Raw genomic sequence first — 20,013 nt, 5'->3', positions numbered from 1 at the left:
GTGGGGAGGCTGGCTGTGCCTGTGGGAAGCCACCGGCTCCCGGGGCTGTCCCTGGGCCCAGGCTGTAGCTCTGTGCATGCAGACGTGCAGGCTGGGTGGGCAACTGGCCACCTTGCCCGTCAGTAATGCATTCACAGTGGGGGGTCAGAGGAAACCCCAGGGCTCCTCTGCTTAGCTTGGCCAGGGGTCCCGATGGGGCAGTCTCTCCGTGTGACTTAATTGTCATCCCTTTTGTGCTCTATGGCTATTAAATAAAACTTGGCAGCCACCTTGGCTGGAGGTTTTATGTCCCAGAGCCCAAGGGCGGTTGGGAGCCAGGGGAGCGCTCAGACGGCAGGGCCAGGCGAGCTCTGTGTGTGGGAGGGGCTGTGGGGGCCTCTGAGAGCTGCTGCAGGGACCCGGCAGGGCGGGGGTGGAGGCGGAGAGTGTGACTGTAGCTTCACAGTCATCAGAGTGGACGTGGAGATGCAGGCAGAGTCCTCGAAGCTGGCTCAGGGGTCTGTGTGGGGAGGGGGCACACCCAGCAGGGGCCTGAGGGTAAGCAAGGGAGGCAGCAGGGTCTTGGAGCTGCCTCCCAAAGGTGGTGGGGAGCCCCAGGAAGAGCAAGGAACAGGAGCAGCCGGCAGGTGCGGCTGATCCACCCTGAGGTCCCGGACACACTGGTGGGGACAGGAAGGCTCATCTTGGAGCTGCTCCTGGAGGGGCCATGTGGGTCACGGCCCCTGGCCCTCTGCTCAGACCACAGAGCACAGGACACTTGTCCAGCCTTTGCTGCGACTGTGCTGCTTGCTCTGGGAGCAGCTGCTGCTGGGCCTTTGGAGGAGGAGGAAGGGTGGCCTGGCTGGGACCCAGCCCCTGTGCCCAGCCTCTTAGAAGGGGAGGTGATGGTCCTTTTAGGCCCCAGGAGTGCAGGCTGCATAGTGGGGCCTCTGTACACATAAGCTGGCAGGTCTGGCTTGGGCTTTGCTCAGGACACTGGGTACTGGGTTCTGGGTTCAGAGGCCTCATGAAAACACCTAGCCTCAGTTTCCTCATCTGTCAGGACCAGCGGCTGGCTGGGAGGGTGTGTGTTAGCATGGCAGCGGCCAGCTTAGTCTACTCTAGGAGACCTTGCCTCCCAGACCCCTGAGCTGACCTCTTCTTTGAGAGCTTAGAGAGGAGAATGACTTGTTCCAGGTCTTACTGCAGGGTCTGGGGCTTCCTGTGGGGACTCAGGTGCACCTTGTCCCTGAATACCCCTGCCTTGCCCACTAGGCCCTGGAACTGTGCCCCGGCCTCCTGTGGCACTGGCTAGCCAGATCTCTGGGAACCATCCCAGCGCAGGTGGCTCTGCAGGAGGCCAACTCATTACCCAGCAATGGCCTTGCCTGATGTGGGTAACAAGCTCATTACCTGGTGATGACCTTGTTTGTCTGTTCCTGGTGTCAGCAGCCTCAGCTCTCCCTGCAAGGAATGTCTAGCCTGGGGTGGGTCTGACCAGTCTGTGCCACAGGCACCAGCATCCCAGTCTGCACTGCATGGGGTGTCGGGTCTGACAGCATCTACCTATATGTGCCCTGAGGGCCCAGACTCAGCCCCCAGTGGGAAGACTCCGGGCTCCTGATGGACCCCTCCCAATTGCACAACCTGAGCAGGTAAGCCCTGACCCACTCTGGGCCTCACTCTCACCACAGCTGGTGACAAAGATTCTCTGCTTGGTCAAGCTTTATTTAGGCTCCTGAGCCTTCTCCTAGGCACATCTGAGCACTTCCTTATAAACTCTAGTTTTAGCAAGAATCCTGCAAAGTCAGTTTAGCGAGAAGCCCCCCGTCCTTGACATCTGATCGGGTTCCCCCTCTGTCCCCCAGGTGCGGTCTGGCCATCCTGGCCGGCCTTCAGCAAGAATTCTGTTAGGGGAGTTAAGCCAGAATCCCTGGCTGCTGATGCTTCCTCTTAGTCACTTTCCATGCGCTGCCCCCCACCCTGCTCCTTGACTGTCCGATCGCACTTGCCCATGCTGTCTTCGAGGCTGAGCCCAGTCTCTTACCCACTGCAGAATCTCATCGCCGTGGTCCCTTATGCCTAGTGACACGGTCCTGGATAGTCTTCCCCCTGCTCCTTGACGGTCCGATCCCACTTGCCCATGCTGTATTCGAGGCTGAGCCCAGTCTCTTACCCACTGCAGAATCTCATCACCGTGGTCCCTTATGCCTAGTGACACGGTCCTGGACAGTCTTCCCTACAGCGCTTTGGCAAGTGTCATTTTTCCTTTTTTCTTTTTTTTTTTTTTGAGACGGAGTCTCACTCTGTCACCCAGGCTGGAGTGCAGTGGCGCCATCTCGGCTCACTGCAACCTCCCGACTCCCTGGTTCAAGCGATTCTCCCGTCTCAGCCTCCCGAGTAGCTGGGATTATAGGCACCTACCACCATGCCCAGCTAGTGTCAATTTTCACTGAATTATTTTTTTAACAGTGGGGACTAAAGAGGGTCCGCAAGCAGGGCTGCTGCTGGGCACCATGGAGGGCCGCCTGGCGGGACACGCCCCAACATACAGGGGTCCTTGGGGGCTCCCCTTCCCCTGCCAGCTGGGCTGGGGTCTCTGTGTCAGGATTGCCCTCACCACCACCTGGGGATGGACCTCCACTGTCATCCTAGGGAAGGGGCCAGGGAGGGGAGTCTACATGCTGAGCGGGCCTGTCCGAGGCCTCTGCTATCCCAATGCAGCCCCCAGTATTTAGACCTGCCCCCAGTGACCTGCTCCCTCTTGCCCATCATTCCAGGAACTTCCTGCTCCACGCCTGCGCACATCCTGTCCCGAGGCCAGCTCCCCCTGCTCAGCCTCAGGACGCAGCCACCCACCCTCCCAGGAGCGCCTTCCCTGCCCCTGTGGCTTCCTGCTGGCACTCTCTGCACTGGGTTCTTCCTCCTGGTGTGTGGGCCCCTAGTCTCTGTCTCCTGTCGGGTTTGACTTCTACCAGAGCAGGGACCTCCCTGAGTCCTCATGGCCCAGAAAAGTGCCCAGCATGCAGTAGGCGCATCATAAATACCTGTCTACTATCATGTGGTGAACTGAGTGAAGACATCTCATTAAAGATGACATTAAAGAATAGGGCATAGGGCTTGGCATTCAGTAGGCACACAGTACATGACGGCTTTTTATTTCCAGTCTGGGGTTGTGTTCATGCTTCAGTTTCCCACCTGGCCTGATAGGAGGGGCTCAGCTGCTGGGCTGGCTGTGTCTCTGTGCCCCTTGCCTGGAAATGCCTGAGGAGGGGCAGGGTCCTCATCCCAGCCACATCCCAGGGGTTCCCAGCCCTCTGACCTTGAGGAGCTGTGGGAGGCAAAGGCTGCAGCCACCCTGTAGCACTGCAAACACAGGCTGGGGCGGGAAGGGGGGTACAGAGGGTGTGCACAAGGGGCAGGGGGCAGGGAGAGGGTGTGCACATGGGACCAGGGGGAGGGAGGGGGTGTGCACAGAGCCAGGCTGTGGCTGCACCTCGACCCTTACCACTCCCGCCCACCCCATGGAACCCCCTCTGAGCCCTTACGCCTCGGCAGGTGGGGGTGAGGAGCTTAAGTATAGGTCTCTACCCAAGATTTGCACCAAGTCATGTCAGTCACTGGTGTACATCCTTGTAACTGACACACACATCAAGGTCTTTCCTCTACATCTTCCTGTCTCAAGATGAGAACGCTTGATAGTGGTTAATTATTCTCTTATGTTACGTGTTTACTGGAGAGTGTGATAACACATGAAATAGTACGTAACATCTACGTCAGCCAAAAGCATAAGGACTGCCTGTCTACCCAACCAGCATATTTATCCCCGTATCAGCGCAATGCTTCACTCCCTTCTCTCCAGATGGGCCTGATTTGTATGTTTCTCTTGCTTTTTATAGATGTTTTTCTAAGTATATGGTATCTTGAAACAGCATAATTTGGCTTTGATTGTCTTTAAGTGTTATAGATAAAAATGGTATACTGTATTTTAAAAAAAACTCTTCTAGATTAATATACTTAAGTAAAAAATGGTATTCTGTGTACTAGCTGGGCTCGGTGGCTCACGCCTATAATCCCAACACTTTGGGAGGCTGAAGTGGGCAGATTACTTGCGGCCAGGAGTTGGAGACTAGCCTGGCCAACATGGTGAGACCCTGTGTCTACTAAAAATACAAAAATTAGCCAGATGTGGTGGTGCACACCTGTAATCCCAGCTACACAGGAGGCAGGGACAGGAGAATCACTTGAACCTGGGAGGCGGAGGTTGCAGTGAGCCAAGATCGAGCCACTGCACTCCAGCCTGGGCGACAGAGTGAGACTCTGTCTCAAAAAGAAAAAAAAAGTATTCTGTCTATGGCTTGCATACACACACACACACACACACACACAGGCACACACACACACCCCTTGCTGAATTTTTTTTTTTTTTTGAGACAGAGTCTCGCTCTGTCGCCCAGGCTGGAGTGCAGTGTCTCGATCTCGGCTCACTGCAAGCTCTGCCTCCTGGGTTGACACCATTCCCTGCCTCAGCCTCCTGAGTAGCTGGGACTACAGGCACCCGCCACCACGCCTGGCTCATTTTTTTTTTTTTTTTTTTTTTTAGTAGAGACGGGATTTCACCATGTTAGCCAGGATGGTCTCGATCTCCTGACCTTGTGATCTGCCTGCCTCAGCCTCCCAAAGTGCTGGGATTACAGGCTTGAGCCACCGCGCCCAGCCTCTTGTTGAATTTTTTACTGGATTTGCATTAAATCTGTAGAACAATTTGGGGAGAATCGACAACTTTATAATACTGAATCTCCCAATCCACAAAGAGTAGATTATGTATTATCTCTCTTATTTAGATTTTTTAAATGTCTTTCAATCAAGTTTTATAATTTTTCTATACAGGTCTTGCATAGTTTTTGTTAGATTCTTCAGTTACCTTAGTTCCTATTGTTATTGCAAATGGTAAATGTAACAGCCTGGGACTGGCCATTTAAACCCAACATTACTTCTAAGCTTCATCCATTCTGTTGTGCAACTGTGGCTGATTCAGTCTCACCACTGTATAAGAAGACTCCAACTAATGGCCAGGAGTGGTGGCTCACGCCTGTAATCCCAGCACTTTGGGAGGCCGAGGCGGGCGGATCACCTGAGGTCCGGAGTTTGAGACCAGCCTGACAAACACGGAGAAACCCCGTCTCTACTAAAAATACAAAATTAGCCAGGTGTGGTGGCGCATGCCTGTAATCCCTGCTGCTCAGGAAGCTGAGGCAGGAGAATGGCTTGAACCCCGGAGGCGGAGGTTGCCACAAACTGAGATTGTGCCATTGCACTCCAGCCTGGGCAACAAGAGCGAAACTCCGTCTCAAAAAAAAAAAAAAGAAAAGAAAAGAAAAGAAAAGAAGATTCCAACTAATTTATTCATTCTCCTGTTAATGGACATTTGAATCAGTCTGGATTTTCTTTTTTTCTATTACTGTGTTTCTATGGACATTTTTGCACCTGCCTCTTGGGGCTTGTATGCAAGAGTCCCTCAAAAGAATATTTTGAGGCCAGGCACGGTGGCTCACACCTATAATCCCAGCACTTTGGGAGACGACACGGGCAGATCACGAGGTCAGGAGTTTGAGACTAGCCTGACCAACATGGTGAAACCCCGTCTCTACTAAAAATACAAAAATTAGCTGGGCATGGTGGTTAGCACCTGTAACCCAGCTACTCAGGAGACTGAGGAAGGAGAATCACTTGAACCTGGAAGGTGGAGCTTGCATTGAGTGGAGATCTTGCCACTGCACTCCAGCCTGGGCAACAAGAGCAAAACGCTTTCTCAAAAAAAAAAGCTTTCTCAAAAAAAAAAAAAAAAAAAAAAAGGAAATACCCAAAGTGTGTTTTTCTTGCTAAGAACCAGTAATTCCTTTTCTTGATTTCTGTGTTGTTTTTGAGACCCTATTTTATTTAGTTCTCCTCTGATCTTTATTATTTTTTTCATGGGCTAATTTTGGTTTTGCTTTGTTCTTGCTTTTCTAGTTCTTTAAGGTGCATCATAAGTTTATTAATTTTTCATCTTTCTACTTTTTGGATGTAGGTATTTATTGCTACAACCTTCCCTCACAGCACTGATTTTGCTGAATCCAAAGGCTTTTGGTATATGATGTTTCCATTTTCATTTGTTTGAAAACATTTTCGGATTTTCATTTTAATTTCTTCATTGAATCAGTGCTCATTCAGGAGGGTGGGGTTTAATTTTCATGTATGCGTATAGGTTCTGTAGTTTGCCTTGATGTCCATTTCTAGGTTTATTCCTCTGTTGTCTGATCTTTGGAATGATTATGATTATGATTTCCTAAAATGTGTAGGGACAGCTTTTGTGGACTAACAAAGGATCTGTTTTGAAGAACGTTTCATGTGCTGATGAAAAAAGTATATTAATTTATCTAAAAATAGCACCTAGAGAAACTCAAATAATATATATTTTGCAAAATAACCATAGTCTTCAAAACAAACAAAAAAACAAAAAAGAGACTGAGTAGCTACGTTTGACATTTTTGCAAAAGACAGGACACTTGAGTCCTCCTGTCTCCTTCTGCATTCCAACTATCTCAAAATCTTGTTAGGTTGAAATACACAAACAATACCCAGCCTCCCTCAAATAGGTCTGTGTAAAGGAAGGAGTTTGGGTTTGGTTTCTCTTGGTCAGTTGCACGGAGATGAAAGCACTGGGTCCTATGGAAAGTATGTCCCTCCCAGCCTGCCCTGGCCATCACCCCAGCTGCCACTCCAGCAGGATCTGGGCGTCCCAGGCACTTCTGTTCTGAGCAACCCTCCCCAACAGAGTTCCCAGGAGAAGAGTAGGAGGATGCTCAGATGCGAATCCCAAAGCTGTCACCTCCTGAGCCAGCTGCTGGGCCGGGAATCCTGCTCCCCTGCCGAGACCTCTTTGCTGGGCCAGAACCAGGTCTTGGAGAGAGTCCGGATAGCTCTTGGGGCTCCGGGCCAGGGAGAGAAGGGGACATTACAATGCATGGACCATACAGTCCTCCAGCCCAGCAGCCTCAACCCTCAGCAGGAATCTTCAGCGATCCACAGGTGGATCTGCAGCCATTGTGCGCGCCTGTTCTTCCCGCGCGCCTCTCCCTCCAGTACCTCTTGTGTGCACTGCCCGCTCCCCACCAAGGCATTGCCAGCAGGTGCCTTGTGTGCATACCTGGCCATGCTAATCCCTTAAAGTCACCCTTCCTGCGCAGATCCGTGACTCGCACCATCTTTGCACACACACCCACTCGCTCAGGTTGGAAAGATGCATTGCCCGTCAACGGGAAACTGCTCGCATAGCCTTTGGCCAAGTTGGCAGCTAAGGCGGATGCTTAGAGCCCAGCTCTCAAGAGTTGAAGCATCCGACGGTTCCCCACTGCTCCCAGGAGTGGTTACCTGGGCACTCTGTGTCTGTCACCCCTGTCCCGGCCCCGGGGGCCAAGGGCCTGCCAGTAGGGCTCAGTTGCCTGGAGCCTGCTCATCCCATCCCCCAGTTCACTTTGTTTGTGGAATCTCCCTGTTGCCACTGCCCCTGGATGGAATGGCAGGGCCATCCTACAAGTACCCAGACACTTGGCATCAGTGGTGTGTCAAAACAACTCCAAGGGTTTTCTGTGATCCTGCAAGCCCTGTGTTCCTTGCTGGCGATCCTGCCTTCAATTTGAATGCACAGGTACCACAGCAAGCCGGTGCTGTGTGCTCCCAATTCCAGGATGTCTTGCAGCTCAGCCAGTGCACTGAGCACAAGGACTCTCTGTGGGGCCCAGGAGCAGGGAGTCACCCCTTTGGGGCCCACAACATCCAGTTGTGCCCCAGACTCCTGTCCAGAGAAGATCGTGTTGAGGGCCCTCCTGAAGAGGGGGGCAGGGATGCCTGAGCAGGACAAGGACCCCAGAGTCCAAGAGAATCCTGATGATCAGAGAAGGGTTCCTGAGGGCACCGGGGATGCACAGTCTGCATTTAGGCCCCTGTGGGACAATGGAGGCCTCTCTCCCTTCGTGCCCAGGCCTGGGCCTCTGCAGAGAGACCTCCATGCCCAGAGGTCAGAAGTCGGATAAAACCAGAGATCCCAGACCTCCTGGATGAGTTCGTGCACCAAACAAAATGCCATCGTGAGCTCCTACAGTTCCATGGGAGGCTTCCTGTCACCAAAGAGGAGGGGGCCAGCCTCATCCCACTGTCAGCTGCCCCTCAGGTCCTCAAAGACAGTGAGTGAGGACCGGCCTCAGGCTGTCTCTTGGGGTCTCACCCAGTGTGAAAAGGCAGCAGATGCAGCACCAGGGCAGACACTTGCCCCCAGGAATGGCTCCCCCACATCCCAGGCCTCTAGGCCCCATAGATGCAAGTTTCCTCTGCTGCCACTCAGGCAAGGGGAGCCTCTGATGCTGCCACCTCCCTTACAGCTGGGGTCTGGGGTCACTGCTGAAGACCTGGACCTGGAGAAGAAGGTGGCACTCTGGTGCAAAAGCGCACTGCGGGGTGAGGCCAAGGCCATCTGGGACTGCAGACCCTCACGGCCTTCCCACACTTTGTCCTCACTTGCAACAGGGACTTCTTGTCTGCCTGTTGTATGTAAAGCACCCAGCATGGATGCACAGCAGGAGAGACACAAGCCCCAAGACTATGTGGCTGTCTTTCTGGGCTCTGTCATCCGTCCCATTGATCTATGTGTCTAGTTTTATGCTAGGACCATGCTGTTTTGGTTACCATGCACTTGTCAAAAATTTTGTCATTCTAATTTGCAGTGAAATGGGGTGCTTCTAGTTTTGTTGTTTTTGCTGAGGATGACTTTGGCTCTTTGAGCTCTTTTTTGGTTTCATATGAGTTTTACGATTTTCCAGTTCTGTGAGAGATGACACTGGTATTTTGGTAGGGGTTGTATTGAATCTCTAGACTGCTCTGGGCAGTGTGGTCATTTTAATGCTATGAATTCCTTCCATGAGCATGAAATGACTGTCCATTTCTTTCCGTCCTCTTAAACTTTGTCATCAGTGTTTTGTAGTTTTCCTTGTAGAAATCGTTCACCTCCTTGGTAAAATTTCCTCTGTGGCATATCATTTTTCATTTTGTTGCTATTGTAAATGGGATTGCCTCCTTAATTTCTTTCCTAGACCATTATTGGTGTATAAAATGCTGCTGATTTTTGTATGTTGATTTTGTATCCTGCAAATGACTGTATTAATTTATTTATCAAGTCTAGAGTTTTCTGGTGGAGGCTTTACATGTTTGTAAATCCAAGATCACATCTTCATCAGACAAGGATAATTTGATGTCCTCTTTTCCAGTGTGGGTGGCTTTTATTTTTTTCTCTTGCATATTTGTGTGATGTCTAATAAAAGTGGTGAGAACGGGCATCCTCGTCTTGTTCCTGTTTACAGAGGAAACGCTTTTCACTTTTCCCCATTCTGTAGTAGGTTAGCTATGGCTTTGTCGTATACAGCTTTTATTATTTCTAGGTTTTTTTTTTTGAGATGGATTCTGGCTCTTGTCACCCAGGCTGTAGTGCAATGGTGCAATCTCAGCTCACAGCAAACTCTGCCTCCCAGGTTCAAGTGATTCTCCTGCCTCAGCCTCCGGAGTAGCTGGGAGGCGCCCGCCACCACGCCCGGCTAATTTTTGTACTTTTGGTAGAGATGGGGTTTCACCATGTTGGCCAGGCCGGTCTCGAACTCCTGACCTCAGGTGATCCACTCACCTCAGCCTCCCAAAGTGCTGGGATTACACGCATGAGCCACTGGGCCTGGCCATTTTCAGGTATGTTTCTTCTATGCCTAGTTTGTTCCTTTTTTCAAGACATGGTCTCACTCTGTTTTTCATGCTGGAGTGCAGTGACACCATCATAGCTGTAGCTTTGAACTCATGGGCTCAAGCCACCTCAGCCTTTCAAGTAGCTGGGACTACAGGTGCATGTCACCAGAGCTGGCTAATTTTTATTTTTATTTTTTTGTAGAGATCTATTTTCCTCAGGTTGGTCTTGAACTGCTGACCTCAAGTGACCCTCCCAGCTCAGCCTCCCAAAAGCACTGGGTTGACAAGCATGAGCCGCCGCCTGGCCCAGAGTCACATTTTAACATCCTATCCTCAGTGCCGGGCTCAAGTTTCGCCAGTGACTGAAAACCCTAAGGGAGAGTTTTCTGATCAGGCCCAGCCCAGTCTGTGCATAGGAAGGGAATGGAAAAATGGCCTGTGGATGGTTCTTTTGGAGAACTGGCCAGACAAGCACTGAGATGCCGTTTCCTGGAATACAGAGCCATGTGATGTCCAGCCCAGCTGCCAGGTCCAGGGCTCTCGGCACCATCTAGTTTGGGAGTTCACCCAGAAGCAGCCTCGGTTGCCCAAAGCAGCTGGTCTCCCTTCCAATCTGGTCCCGTTTGAGAGATGCAACCGGGCCGTCTTCCAGGAAACCATTTCAGTGCGTGCCTGTCTTTGTCCCCGCACTGGCTGGCCTCTCTGAACCATGAGAACTTGGGTTATGCGAGGCTCTGCCTGTCAGTTGAGCATCATGAAGCAGCTCTCTTCTGTTCCAGTGAGGCCGACCAGGCTCCAACACCCCTGCCACGGGTCTGACCATTCTCCCCCTCACCCAGAAGTGACCTCCAACCCGATCCTGCTCCCTGTCTTCTGGCAGCTGCTCTGGGGAAGGGCATTTTGGCCTCAAGGGCTGAGCATGTCATTTTCTGTTTTCTGTTTATCTTTCCGGAGCTGTTAGGGAGCTGTTATTTTTATTTTTTATTTTATTTAATTTTTTTTGAGATGGAGTCTCACTCTGTCACCCAGGCTGAAGTGCAGTGGCTCAATCTCGGCTCACTGCACCCTCCACGTCCTGGGTTCAAGCGATTCTCCTGTCTCAGCCTCCTGAGTAGCTGGGACTACAGACACATGCCATAATGCCCAGCTAATTTTTGTATTTTTAGTAGAGACGGGGTTTCACCATAGTAGTCAGGCTGGTCTCGAACTCCTGACTTCAGGTGATCCACCCGCCTCAGCCTCCCAAAGTGCTAGGATTACCGGCAACATTTACTTATTTAGAGACAGGGTCTTGCTCTGTCGCCCAGGCTGGAGTGCAGTGGTGCCATCTCAACTCACTGCATGCAGCCTCTGCCTCCGGGGTTCAAAGGATTCTCATGCCCCAACCTCCCAAGTAACTGGGACTAGAGCCGTGCGCCGCCACGCAGGGCTAATTTTTTTTTTTTTTTTTTTTTTGTAGAGACAAGATTTTGCCATGTTGGCCAGGCTGGTCTTGAACTCCTGACCTCAGGTGATCTGCCTGCCTCATCCTCTCAAAGTACTAGGGTTATAGCTCTGAACCACCATGCCTGGACTTTCAGTACATTTAAATGATGCGGTGGCTCATGCCTGTAATCCCAGCACTTTGGGAGGCCAAGGCAGGCGGATCACCTGAGGTCAGAAGTTCGACATCAGCCTGGTCAACATGGTGTTTTGGTTGTTTTTTTTTTTTTTTTTCAAATTGGGGGGACAGGGGACCTGAATCTGTCCCATAAGTCTCCAATGCCATTTACAATAAATACACACAACAAAGGGTGATGGGCAAAAACGTCATGGGGATATTGTGATATAAAAATCCACATGCTCAGAAACTCTATAGGTCACGTGACCAGCTTCCACAAAAATTAAACTGCAAGAATTGGGTTAAACCCATAGATTTAAAAAAGAAGATTTAAGAGACACATCAGCCAATTATATATGGACCTATGGGAGTCCTGATCCAAACATAAAAATAGATAGTAAATAAAACAAAAATATTTATAAGACTGTTAGAAATTTAAATACTCATTGAATAAGGTATGATTTAAGGAATGATTATCAATTATTTTAAGGACTGATAATGGTATTAGGATTATATTTTTAAAAGAATCCTTCTCTTTCCAAGATAATAAAATATTTATGGATGAAATGATATGATGTCCAGAATCTGCTTCAAAATAATAAGAGGGGAGGGTGGGTATCACAGAGTTACAACTGGCTGTGAGCTGATAATGGTGATGAGCGTGATGAGCGTATTGGGCTGAAATATCAATCCATCTACTTTTGTATGTCTACAATTTCCTATAATGAGATGGAACACTGTAAACACCAATGCATCCTGCCTATTCAAACAAAAAAGCAGTTGAAGTCTCAGACTGAATGTCACCCATACCTGTGCTAATCTTGGATTTGTTCTCCACAGTGGTCATGGCAGGGGCAGATGCCGAAGGTGCTGCAGATGGGCAGGAGCTTTCCTTCCCTTTAACACCATTAGTCACCGTTACCCCTCTGGCCATTCCAGCTAAAAGGTCATCACTGCTCTTGGTCTAGAAGCAACAGAAAATGAAAACGAATTTAGTAGATCAAGCAAGATTAGATATTTTGAGACTCAACAAAGCTCATGACTTTTATACTGAGTTCAAGAGCCCTATTACCAAAACTTTCTGACGGGTAGTAAGCAGCACACCATACTGCGCTACAGAAATAGAACTTTACAGGTTTATAAACAATCACGTACTTCTTTTTTTTTTTTTTTTTTGATATAGAGTCTGGCTCTGTTGCCCAGGCTGGAGTGCAGTGGCACAATCTCGGCTCACTGCAACCTCCGCCTCCCCAGTTCATGCGATTCTTCTGCCTCAGCCTCCCAAGTAGCTGGGACTACAGACATGCATCACCACACCCAGCTAATTTTTGTATTTTTTTTTAGTGGAGACGGGGTTTCACCATATTGGCCAGGCTGGTCTCAAACTCCTGACCTTGTGATCCAGCCACCTCGGCCTCCCAAAGTGCTGGGATTACAGGCGTGAGCCACTGTGCCTGGCCAAATCATGTACTTCTTTTTAAAACAATAAAATCATATATGTAATCAAAGACTTTATGGAAGCCTGAGATGTGTCCACATATGCCAGATTCAGATGATGGGGGATAGCACATGATATCTTGGGAAAATCCTATAATGCCACAGGAAGTGTCATCTTGCAATTTCCAGAAAGAAATATCATTGAGAGTCAAATAATCCTCATTGCTCTAAAGTGATTCCATGATGAGGCCAGTATCTAAAGGAATTTATTCTGGGCCGGGCGCGGTGGCTCACACTTGTAATCCCAGCAGTTTGGGAGGCCGAGGTGGGTGGATCATGAGGTCTGGAGATCGAGACAATCCTGGCTAACATGGTGAAACCCTGTCTCTACTAAAAATACAAAAAATTAGTTGGGCGTGGTGGCGGGTGCCTGTAGTCCCAGCTCTTAGGGAGGCTGAGGCAGGAGAATGGCATGAACCCGGGAGGTGGAGCTTGCAGTGAGCCAAGATCACGCCACTGCACTCCAGCCTGGGTGACAGAGTGAGACTCTGTCACAAAAAAAAAAAAAGAAAAAAAGAATTTTTTCTGAAATTTATGTTTTTTACTTTATAATTCTGTAGTAGTCAAATTTTAGTCACCATTGAAAGGAGGTATTTTCTAAAACATGCATAATATATTAATAAAAAACTAGAGACTTTACAGTTTGAGCAAGGGTTATGCTGTCTAAATGATCATATTACTTGATAAAGACCATTTGCAATATTTATATTTTATAAAGACAATGTTTAAAATATGAGCTTTAAAAAACACTATGGATAATAAATTGGCTGTAAATTTATTATTCTAAAAAGTAGTGAAGAAATGTTTTCACTTCCTCTAGAAATGAAGGGAACACAGAGGAGTTAAAGATCTGTGGGGAAAAAAAATAAAAACTACTTTTTATCAAAAGAACCCAAAAGTTTTGTCTCTTTGGCATGAGTTAGCCAACCGATTTACACTATCTCCTATCTGGAACCATGCCCTCTCTCAGATAATTGTACTGAATTTATTTGTACAAATCAAAGTAGTTTATAAGTAACTAATCTCTAAAGTCTCTTCCAGTTCTAAATGTCAGTGACTCCATGTGGAGTGTATTTCTGTTATTCAATTATGAAAGTTCTAATACAGTACCATTAGGTTAAGAACAGGCAGAAAAGGCTGGGCACAGTGGCTCATGCCTGTAATCTTAGCATTTTGGGAGGCCGAGGTGCATCACTTGAGCCCAGTTCAACACCATCATGGGCAACATAAGGAGAATCTGTCTGTACAAAAAATTTAAAAATTTAACTGGGTAAAGTGGCACATGTCTGTAGTCCCAGCTATTGGGAAGGTTGAAATGAGAGGATCGCATGAGCCAAGGAGGTCAAAGCTGCACTGAGCCGTGATCACGCCACTGTACTCCAGCCTAGGCAACAGAGTGAGACCCTGTCCCCACCTGCCCCCCCAAAAAAAAGAGGCAGAAAAAGGGATCAATATTTTCAATGAATTAAACAGAATTTAACTCTGGTGATTTATGATTTAGGGCTGTCACATTATGAAATCTAGAATACATAAAAAGAGAGAGAGACACTGCACTAATTTCATTAATTTCAAGGACTGTTCATATTCTTTTTTTTTTTTTTGAGACAGAGTTTCGCTCTTGTCGCCCAGGCTGAAGTGCAGTGGCACAATCTCGGCTCACTGCAACCTCCACCTCCCAGGTTCAAGCTATTTTCCTGCCTCAGCCTCCTGAGTAGCTGGGATTACAGGCGTGCGCCACCACGCCCAGCTAAATTTTGTATTTTTAGTAGAGATGGGGTTTCACCATGTTGGTCAGTCTGGTCTCAAACTCCTGACCTCAGGTGACCCACCCACCTTGGCCTCCCAAAGTGCTTGGGATTACAGGCATGAGCCACTGCGCTTAGCCTTTTTTCTTTTTCTTTCTTTCTTTTTTTTTTTTTTTTTGAGACAAAGTCTCACTCTATCACTGAGGCTGGAGTGCAGTGGCATGATCTTGGCTCACCACAATCTCCCCCTCCTGGGTTCAAGCGATTCTTCTGACTCAACCTCCTGAGTAGCTGGACTACAGGCGTGTGCCACCACGCCCAGCTAACTTTTGTATTTTTAGTAGAGATAGGGTATCGCCATGTTGGCCAGGCTGGTCTCAAACTCCTGGCCTCAAGCGATCCGCCTGCTTCGGCCTCCCAAACTGCTGGGATTACAGGTGTGAGCTACCACGCCTGGCCTGTTCATATTCTTTAAGACTTGTTTCTGTTCACAAAAACTGGCCATCAACTATGATGCCAAAAAGTCACACAATGAAAGTCATACCACTTTCCTGCCAATTTGTCCCTCCTCTATTAGCCAGTAAATAAACTCAACATATTCTTATATTTTCAATCTTCTTTTATATCCTGCTAATAAAAGTAAAATTGTCTTTGAACTAATCTTTCTTCCTCCGTAAGTTAAATATTCTTTCATTTGATAATAATTACATTGAAAACCACCCTCCATTGTCATGTCAACGTGGATTACTCATCACACTTCTCTGGTTACAATTTGCCTTTGGGTAATGACAAAGTTAAATATACACAAGGGCACCAAATCACAAACTTTGCACTTATAATAATTAAGACAATACAGCACTGGCACAAGAATAAACTAGTAAAACAGTCTCTGAAGAAGCTGCATATTTATAGACACATGTTTTATAACCAAAGCAGCAATGCAGAAAACAAGAGTCTTCCAGCAAATAGTGCTAGGTCAAGTGTATACACAAAGGGGGCAAAGATAAATGCTGAGACCTATTTCACACCATATCAAATATAAAGTCCAGGGTTTTCTAACTACGATTTTAAATCTGAAATTGTAAAACAAAGACTTGATCGATGTGACTACATAAAAATTAAAATCTTAAAAATAAAAAATCCTTTTAATTAAAAAAAGTGAAAATGTTATTGCATGACGAGAAAACCATCATAAATAGAATTTAAAAACATAAAAAACTGGGAAAGTATATTTGCAATATCTCACAAGTAAATGCTTAAGGTCCCTAATACATCCAAAATGGTTTAAAATTGAAGGGAAAAAGACCAAAAAAAGACAGAAGAATGAGCAAAATGAATGAATCACACAATCAATTTACACACACACACACACAAATACAGAAAATGATGATCAACCTAACTCATAATGAGAGAAATGCAAATTAATCAGCACTTGTCACTTATCAGGGTGCACACCTGTAATCCCAGCACTTTGGGAGGTGGAGGCGGGCGGATCGCAAGGACAGGAGATCGAGACCAGCCTGGCCAATATGGTGAAACCCTGTCTCTACTAAAAAAAAAAATACAAAAATTAACTGGGTGTGGTGGTGCATGTCTGTAATCCCAGCTACTTGGGAGGCTGAGGCCTGAGAATCGCTTGAACCCGGGAGGCGGAGGTTACAGTGAGCTGAGATCGCGCCATTGCACTCCAGCCTGGGTGACAAGAGAGAAACTCTGTCTCAAAAAAAAAAAATCATTCAGCCATAGAAAGGTGTGAAGTACTAACACATGCCTCATGGAAGAACCTAAAAAAAATGATACCTGAAAGATGCCAGTGACAAAAGACCACAAATGATTCCTGTTACATGAAATGTCTGGGACAGGCAAACCCATGGTGGCTGCCTAGGGCTGTGAGGTGGTGAGAATATCCTAAAATTTATTGTGATGATGGTTACACAACTCTGTGCATACATTAAAAACCACTGAACTGTCCAACTTGGTGAGTTGTATGGTATGCAAGTTATAAAAAAAAATAACACAACTAAATCCTAGAAACTCAACTTTCAGGAGATAATTGTATAAGGTATCTGTGGTAGCCCCATAAGCTATTGATGTCTTACTCTCTGGAACCTCTGAACATGTTCACTTACATGGCAAGAGAGTTTGCAGATGTGATTAAGAATTTTAAGGACAGGAAGATGATCCTGAATGGTCCAGGTGGACCCAATCAAATCACACAAGACCTTAAAAGCAGATAACCTATGGTCAGAGTGACGCAATGTGACAACTTGACCAGCTGTTGGCTTTGAAGATGGAGGAAGGGGCCACAAGCCAAAAAACATGGCTGCCTCTATAAGCTGGAAAAGGCAAGGAAACAGATTCTCCCCTAAAGCCTTGAGAAAAGAACACAGCTCTGCTGACACCTTGATTTTAGTCCAGTAAGAGCCATGCTGGACTTCTAACCAACACAACTCTAAGCTGAAAACTATGTGTTGTTTTAGCCACTACATTTGTAGTAATTTCAATAGTAACAGAAAACGAATACACTATACTATAAATAATTTGTTTTATATAGAAAAGAAAATGAATCTAATGGATCTTAATAAATCATCTGGAATAAATGAAGAAGAGTAAAATATCAGAAACATGTGACATAAAAACCTCAGAACCACAGATAATTGGGGCAACAACATTCCTGAAAATACCAAAAATATTTTTTATTAATTTTTGCTGAAGTATAATATACATGAAGTACCCAAATGATAAGTACAGCTAAAAGCATTTTCACAAAGTGAATACACCATGTAGCCACCTCCCCCAAATCAAGATACAGAATGTAATCAGAATCCCAGAAAGCCTCCCTCAATTCCCCTAAAGATAACCACTCTTCTGACATATTATAATAGATTAATTCCCACCACTGTTTTGGCTTCATTTAAATGGAATCATAGTTCAGACTCCCGTGCATCTGGCTGCTTCTGCTCAATATTATGCGTGTGAGATTCATCCACGCTGCTGCATGTTGCAACAGTTTGTTCTTTTTTTTTGCTTGTTTTGTATACCTTATATATCACAATTCATTTGTCCATTCATGTCTTGATGATTATTTGGGTTGTTTCCAGCTTTTGACTCTTAAGGAGACTATTCAACTTCAGCAGATAGTGCCAATGTTTTCCAAACTGGCGAGAACAGTTTAGAGCCCTATCAGCAGGGTGCAAGTGTTCTTGTTTCTCTGCTTCCTTGCCAACACTTGGTATTATGAGCTTTTAAAATGAGGCATTCTGTGTCTAATCTGCTGCAGGCACAGCAAAGCCTGGCTATAATTTTTATTTATTTATTTATTTATTTTTGACACAGAGTCTTGCTCTGTCGCCCATTTTGGAGTACAACGGTGCAGTCTCAGCTCACTGCAACGTCCGCCTCCTGGGTTCAAGCAATTCTTCTGCCTCAGCCTCCCAAGTAGCTGGGACTACAGGCACATGCCACCACACCTGGCTAATTTTTGTATTTTTAGTAGAGACAGGGTTTCACTATGTTGGCCAGGCTGGTCTCAAACTCCTGATCTTGTGATCCGCCCGCCTCGGCCTCCCAAAGTGCTGGGATTACAGGCGTGAGCCACTGTGCCTGGCCACTGTACTTTATTTTTTAAATGCTAATAAAAATTAGATCCTGAAATTTTTTTCACTTGCTATTAATTCTCATATTTTACATGCATCTTTGTTAGTATTTCCTACATCATAATCATGTCTGCAAATAGAATTTTATTTCTTTCTTTCCAAGTATTATACTTCTTATCTCTCTTTCTGCCTTTCTGCCCTGACTAGAACTTTATTTTTTAATTTTTTGTAGAGATGGGCATCTAACTATGTTGCCCAGGTGAGTCTTGAACTCTTGGCCTCAAGAGATCCTCCTGCCTCAGTCTCCCAGTAGAGCTTTACATACAACACTGAATAGAAGTGATGAGAGCAGGGTCTTGTCTCTTTCCTCATCTCTGGAAGAAAGCTTTCAATAAGTCACCATTAGGCTTAATGTCCACTATAAATATTATTTTGTGTAGATACCCTTTATCATCTTTTTAAAAGTCCCTTTATTCCCAGTTTGTTAGAAATTTGTTCTGTGGGGGTTTTTTTGGAAACTAATAAACAGGTGTTGAATTTTATCAAATGCTTTTGTTCATCACTTTGATTAGATCACATTTTTCCCTCCACTTTGAGAACTTACTCTGAAGGATTTTAATTCATTGAAATTTTTTGAGAGTGCATGTGGCCAATTCTGATGAATATACTGTGGCCAATTAAAAGGAATGTGCAGGCCAGGCGCGGTGGCCCACACCTGTAATCCCAGCACTTTGGGAGGCCGAGGCGGGTGGATCACCTGAGGTCGGGAGTTTGAGACCAGCCCGACCAGCATGGAGAAACCCCGTCTCTACTGAAAATACAAAATTAGCCAAGCATGGTGGCACATGCCTGTAATCCCAGCTACTCGGGAGGCTGAGGCAGGAGAATCGCTTGAATCCGGGAGGCAGAGGTTGTGGTGAGTCGAGATCACGCCACTACCCTCCAGTCTGGGTGACAGAGAGGGACTCCATCACACACACACACACACACACACACACACACACACACACACACACAAAGGGAATGTGCAATTTGCTGTTGTCTGGTGCAGTGTTTTATGGATCAGTCAGGACAAAGTAGTTAATAGCATTACTTACATGTTCTGTAGCTCTACTAAATTTCATTTGCTTTTTCTATTCGTTAATGAGAGGAATGTGTTAAAATTTCCAAATATGCCTATTTCGCCTTTTAGTTCTATCAGTTTCCCTTTATATTCTCTGGGGCTGCGTTACTAGATACATATGAATTTATGATGTGCTCTACGTGCCTCTAAAGTCTTACTGGGCAGCGTGAAGTCTTCCCACATTGTTTTCTAAGGGTGCCTTGGCTATTGTAATTGTTTTAATCCTTTATCATTACGGACAATCTCTATCTCTAGTAATATTTCTTTCTGAGAAATGACGCTTTGAAATTAGTATAGCTCTTCCAGCAGTCCTTTGGTTAGTGCTCGCATAGTACATCTTTTCCAACTCTTTTACTTCCAGTCTTTCTATTTAAAGTGGGTCTTTTGAACAAAATTATGGTTGGGTCTATTGTTTTTAATCTGAAAATCTTTGTCTTTTAACTGGAATATGCAGCCTATTTACCTATAATGTGATTTTTACATATTTGGGTTTACATCTATTACTGTACCCTTAGTTCTTTGTTCCTTTTCTCTCCTTTCCTGCCTTATTTTGGATTAATCAAGTATTAATATTCCATTTCTCTTCTGTTAGCCTCTTATTTTCCATTCTTTTATTACTTTGTTAACAATATGTGATTTTAAATATTATAGTAGCCACATTGAAAAAGTTAAAAATATATATTAATGTATCTTATTTAATCAAACATA

The 20,013-nt window shown here is 46.2% G+C and overlaps 1 long non-coding RNA gene across 3 annotated transcripts in view, besides 2 other annotated features; it reads right to left on the bottom strand.

Annotated features, from left to right (window-relative positions):
- DGCR5 (DiGeorge syndrome critical region gene 5) overlaps positions 1 to 20,013 on the bottom strand; it is a 60,775-nt gene that overhangs the window by 4,582 nt on the left and 36,180 nt on the right. Inside the window, exons 4-5 of one of the 3 annotated variants that reach the window (NR_026651.2) lie at positions 12,155 to 12,308; positions 3,106 to 4,299 (exon numbers count right to left, since the gene is read on the bottom strand). This is a non-coding gene — a long non-coding RNA (DiGeorge syndrome critical region gene 5). Of the gene's footprint in view, positions 1 to 3,105; positions 4,300 to 6,363; positions 9,365 to 12,154; positions 12,309 to 20,013 lie in introns of those variants that run through there. The other 2 variants (NR_024159.2, NR_110533.2) reach the window with 2 other exon arrangements.
- Positions 6,510 to 7,009: an enhancer, noted in NCBI's record as "H3K4me1 hESC enhancer chr22:19007165-19007664 (GRCh37/hg19 assembly coordinates)". NCBI's record gives its function as "activates a minimal SCP1, AML or CMV promoter by ChIP-STARR-seq in primed H9 embryonic stem cells {active_cell/tissue: H9 hESC(primed)}" and the evidence as "EXISTENCE:reporter gene assay evidence [ECO:0000049][PMID:30033119]".
- Positions 8,320 to 8,821: an enhancer, noted in NCBI's record as "H3K4me1 hESC enhancer chr22:19005353-19005854 (GRCh37/hg19 assembly coordinates)". NCBI's record gives its function as "activates a minimal SCP1, AML or CMV promoter by ChIP-STARR-seq in primed H9 embryonic stem cells {active_cell/tissue: H9 hESC(primed)}" and the evidence as "EXISTENCE:reporter gene assay evidence [ECO:0000049][PMID:30033119]".

The sequence above is a fragment of the Homo sapiens genome, chromosome 22 (assembly GCF_000001405.40).
Source record: "Homo sapiens chromosome 22, GRCh38.p14 Primary Assembly".
Classification (NCBI taxonomy): Eukaryota; Metazoa; Chordata; class Mammalia; order Primates; family Hominidae; genus Homo; species Homo sapiens.
Note: the sequence above shows the minus strand (reverse complement) of the source record. Positions and strands in the feature narration are given on the sequence as shown.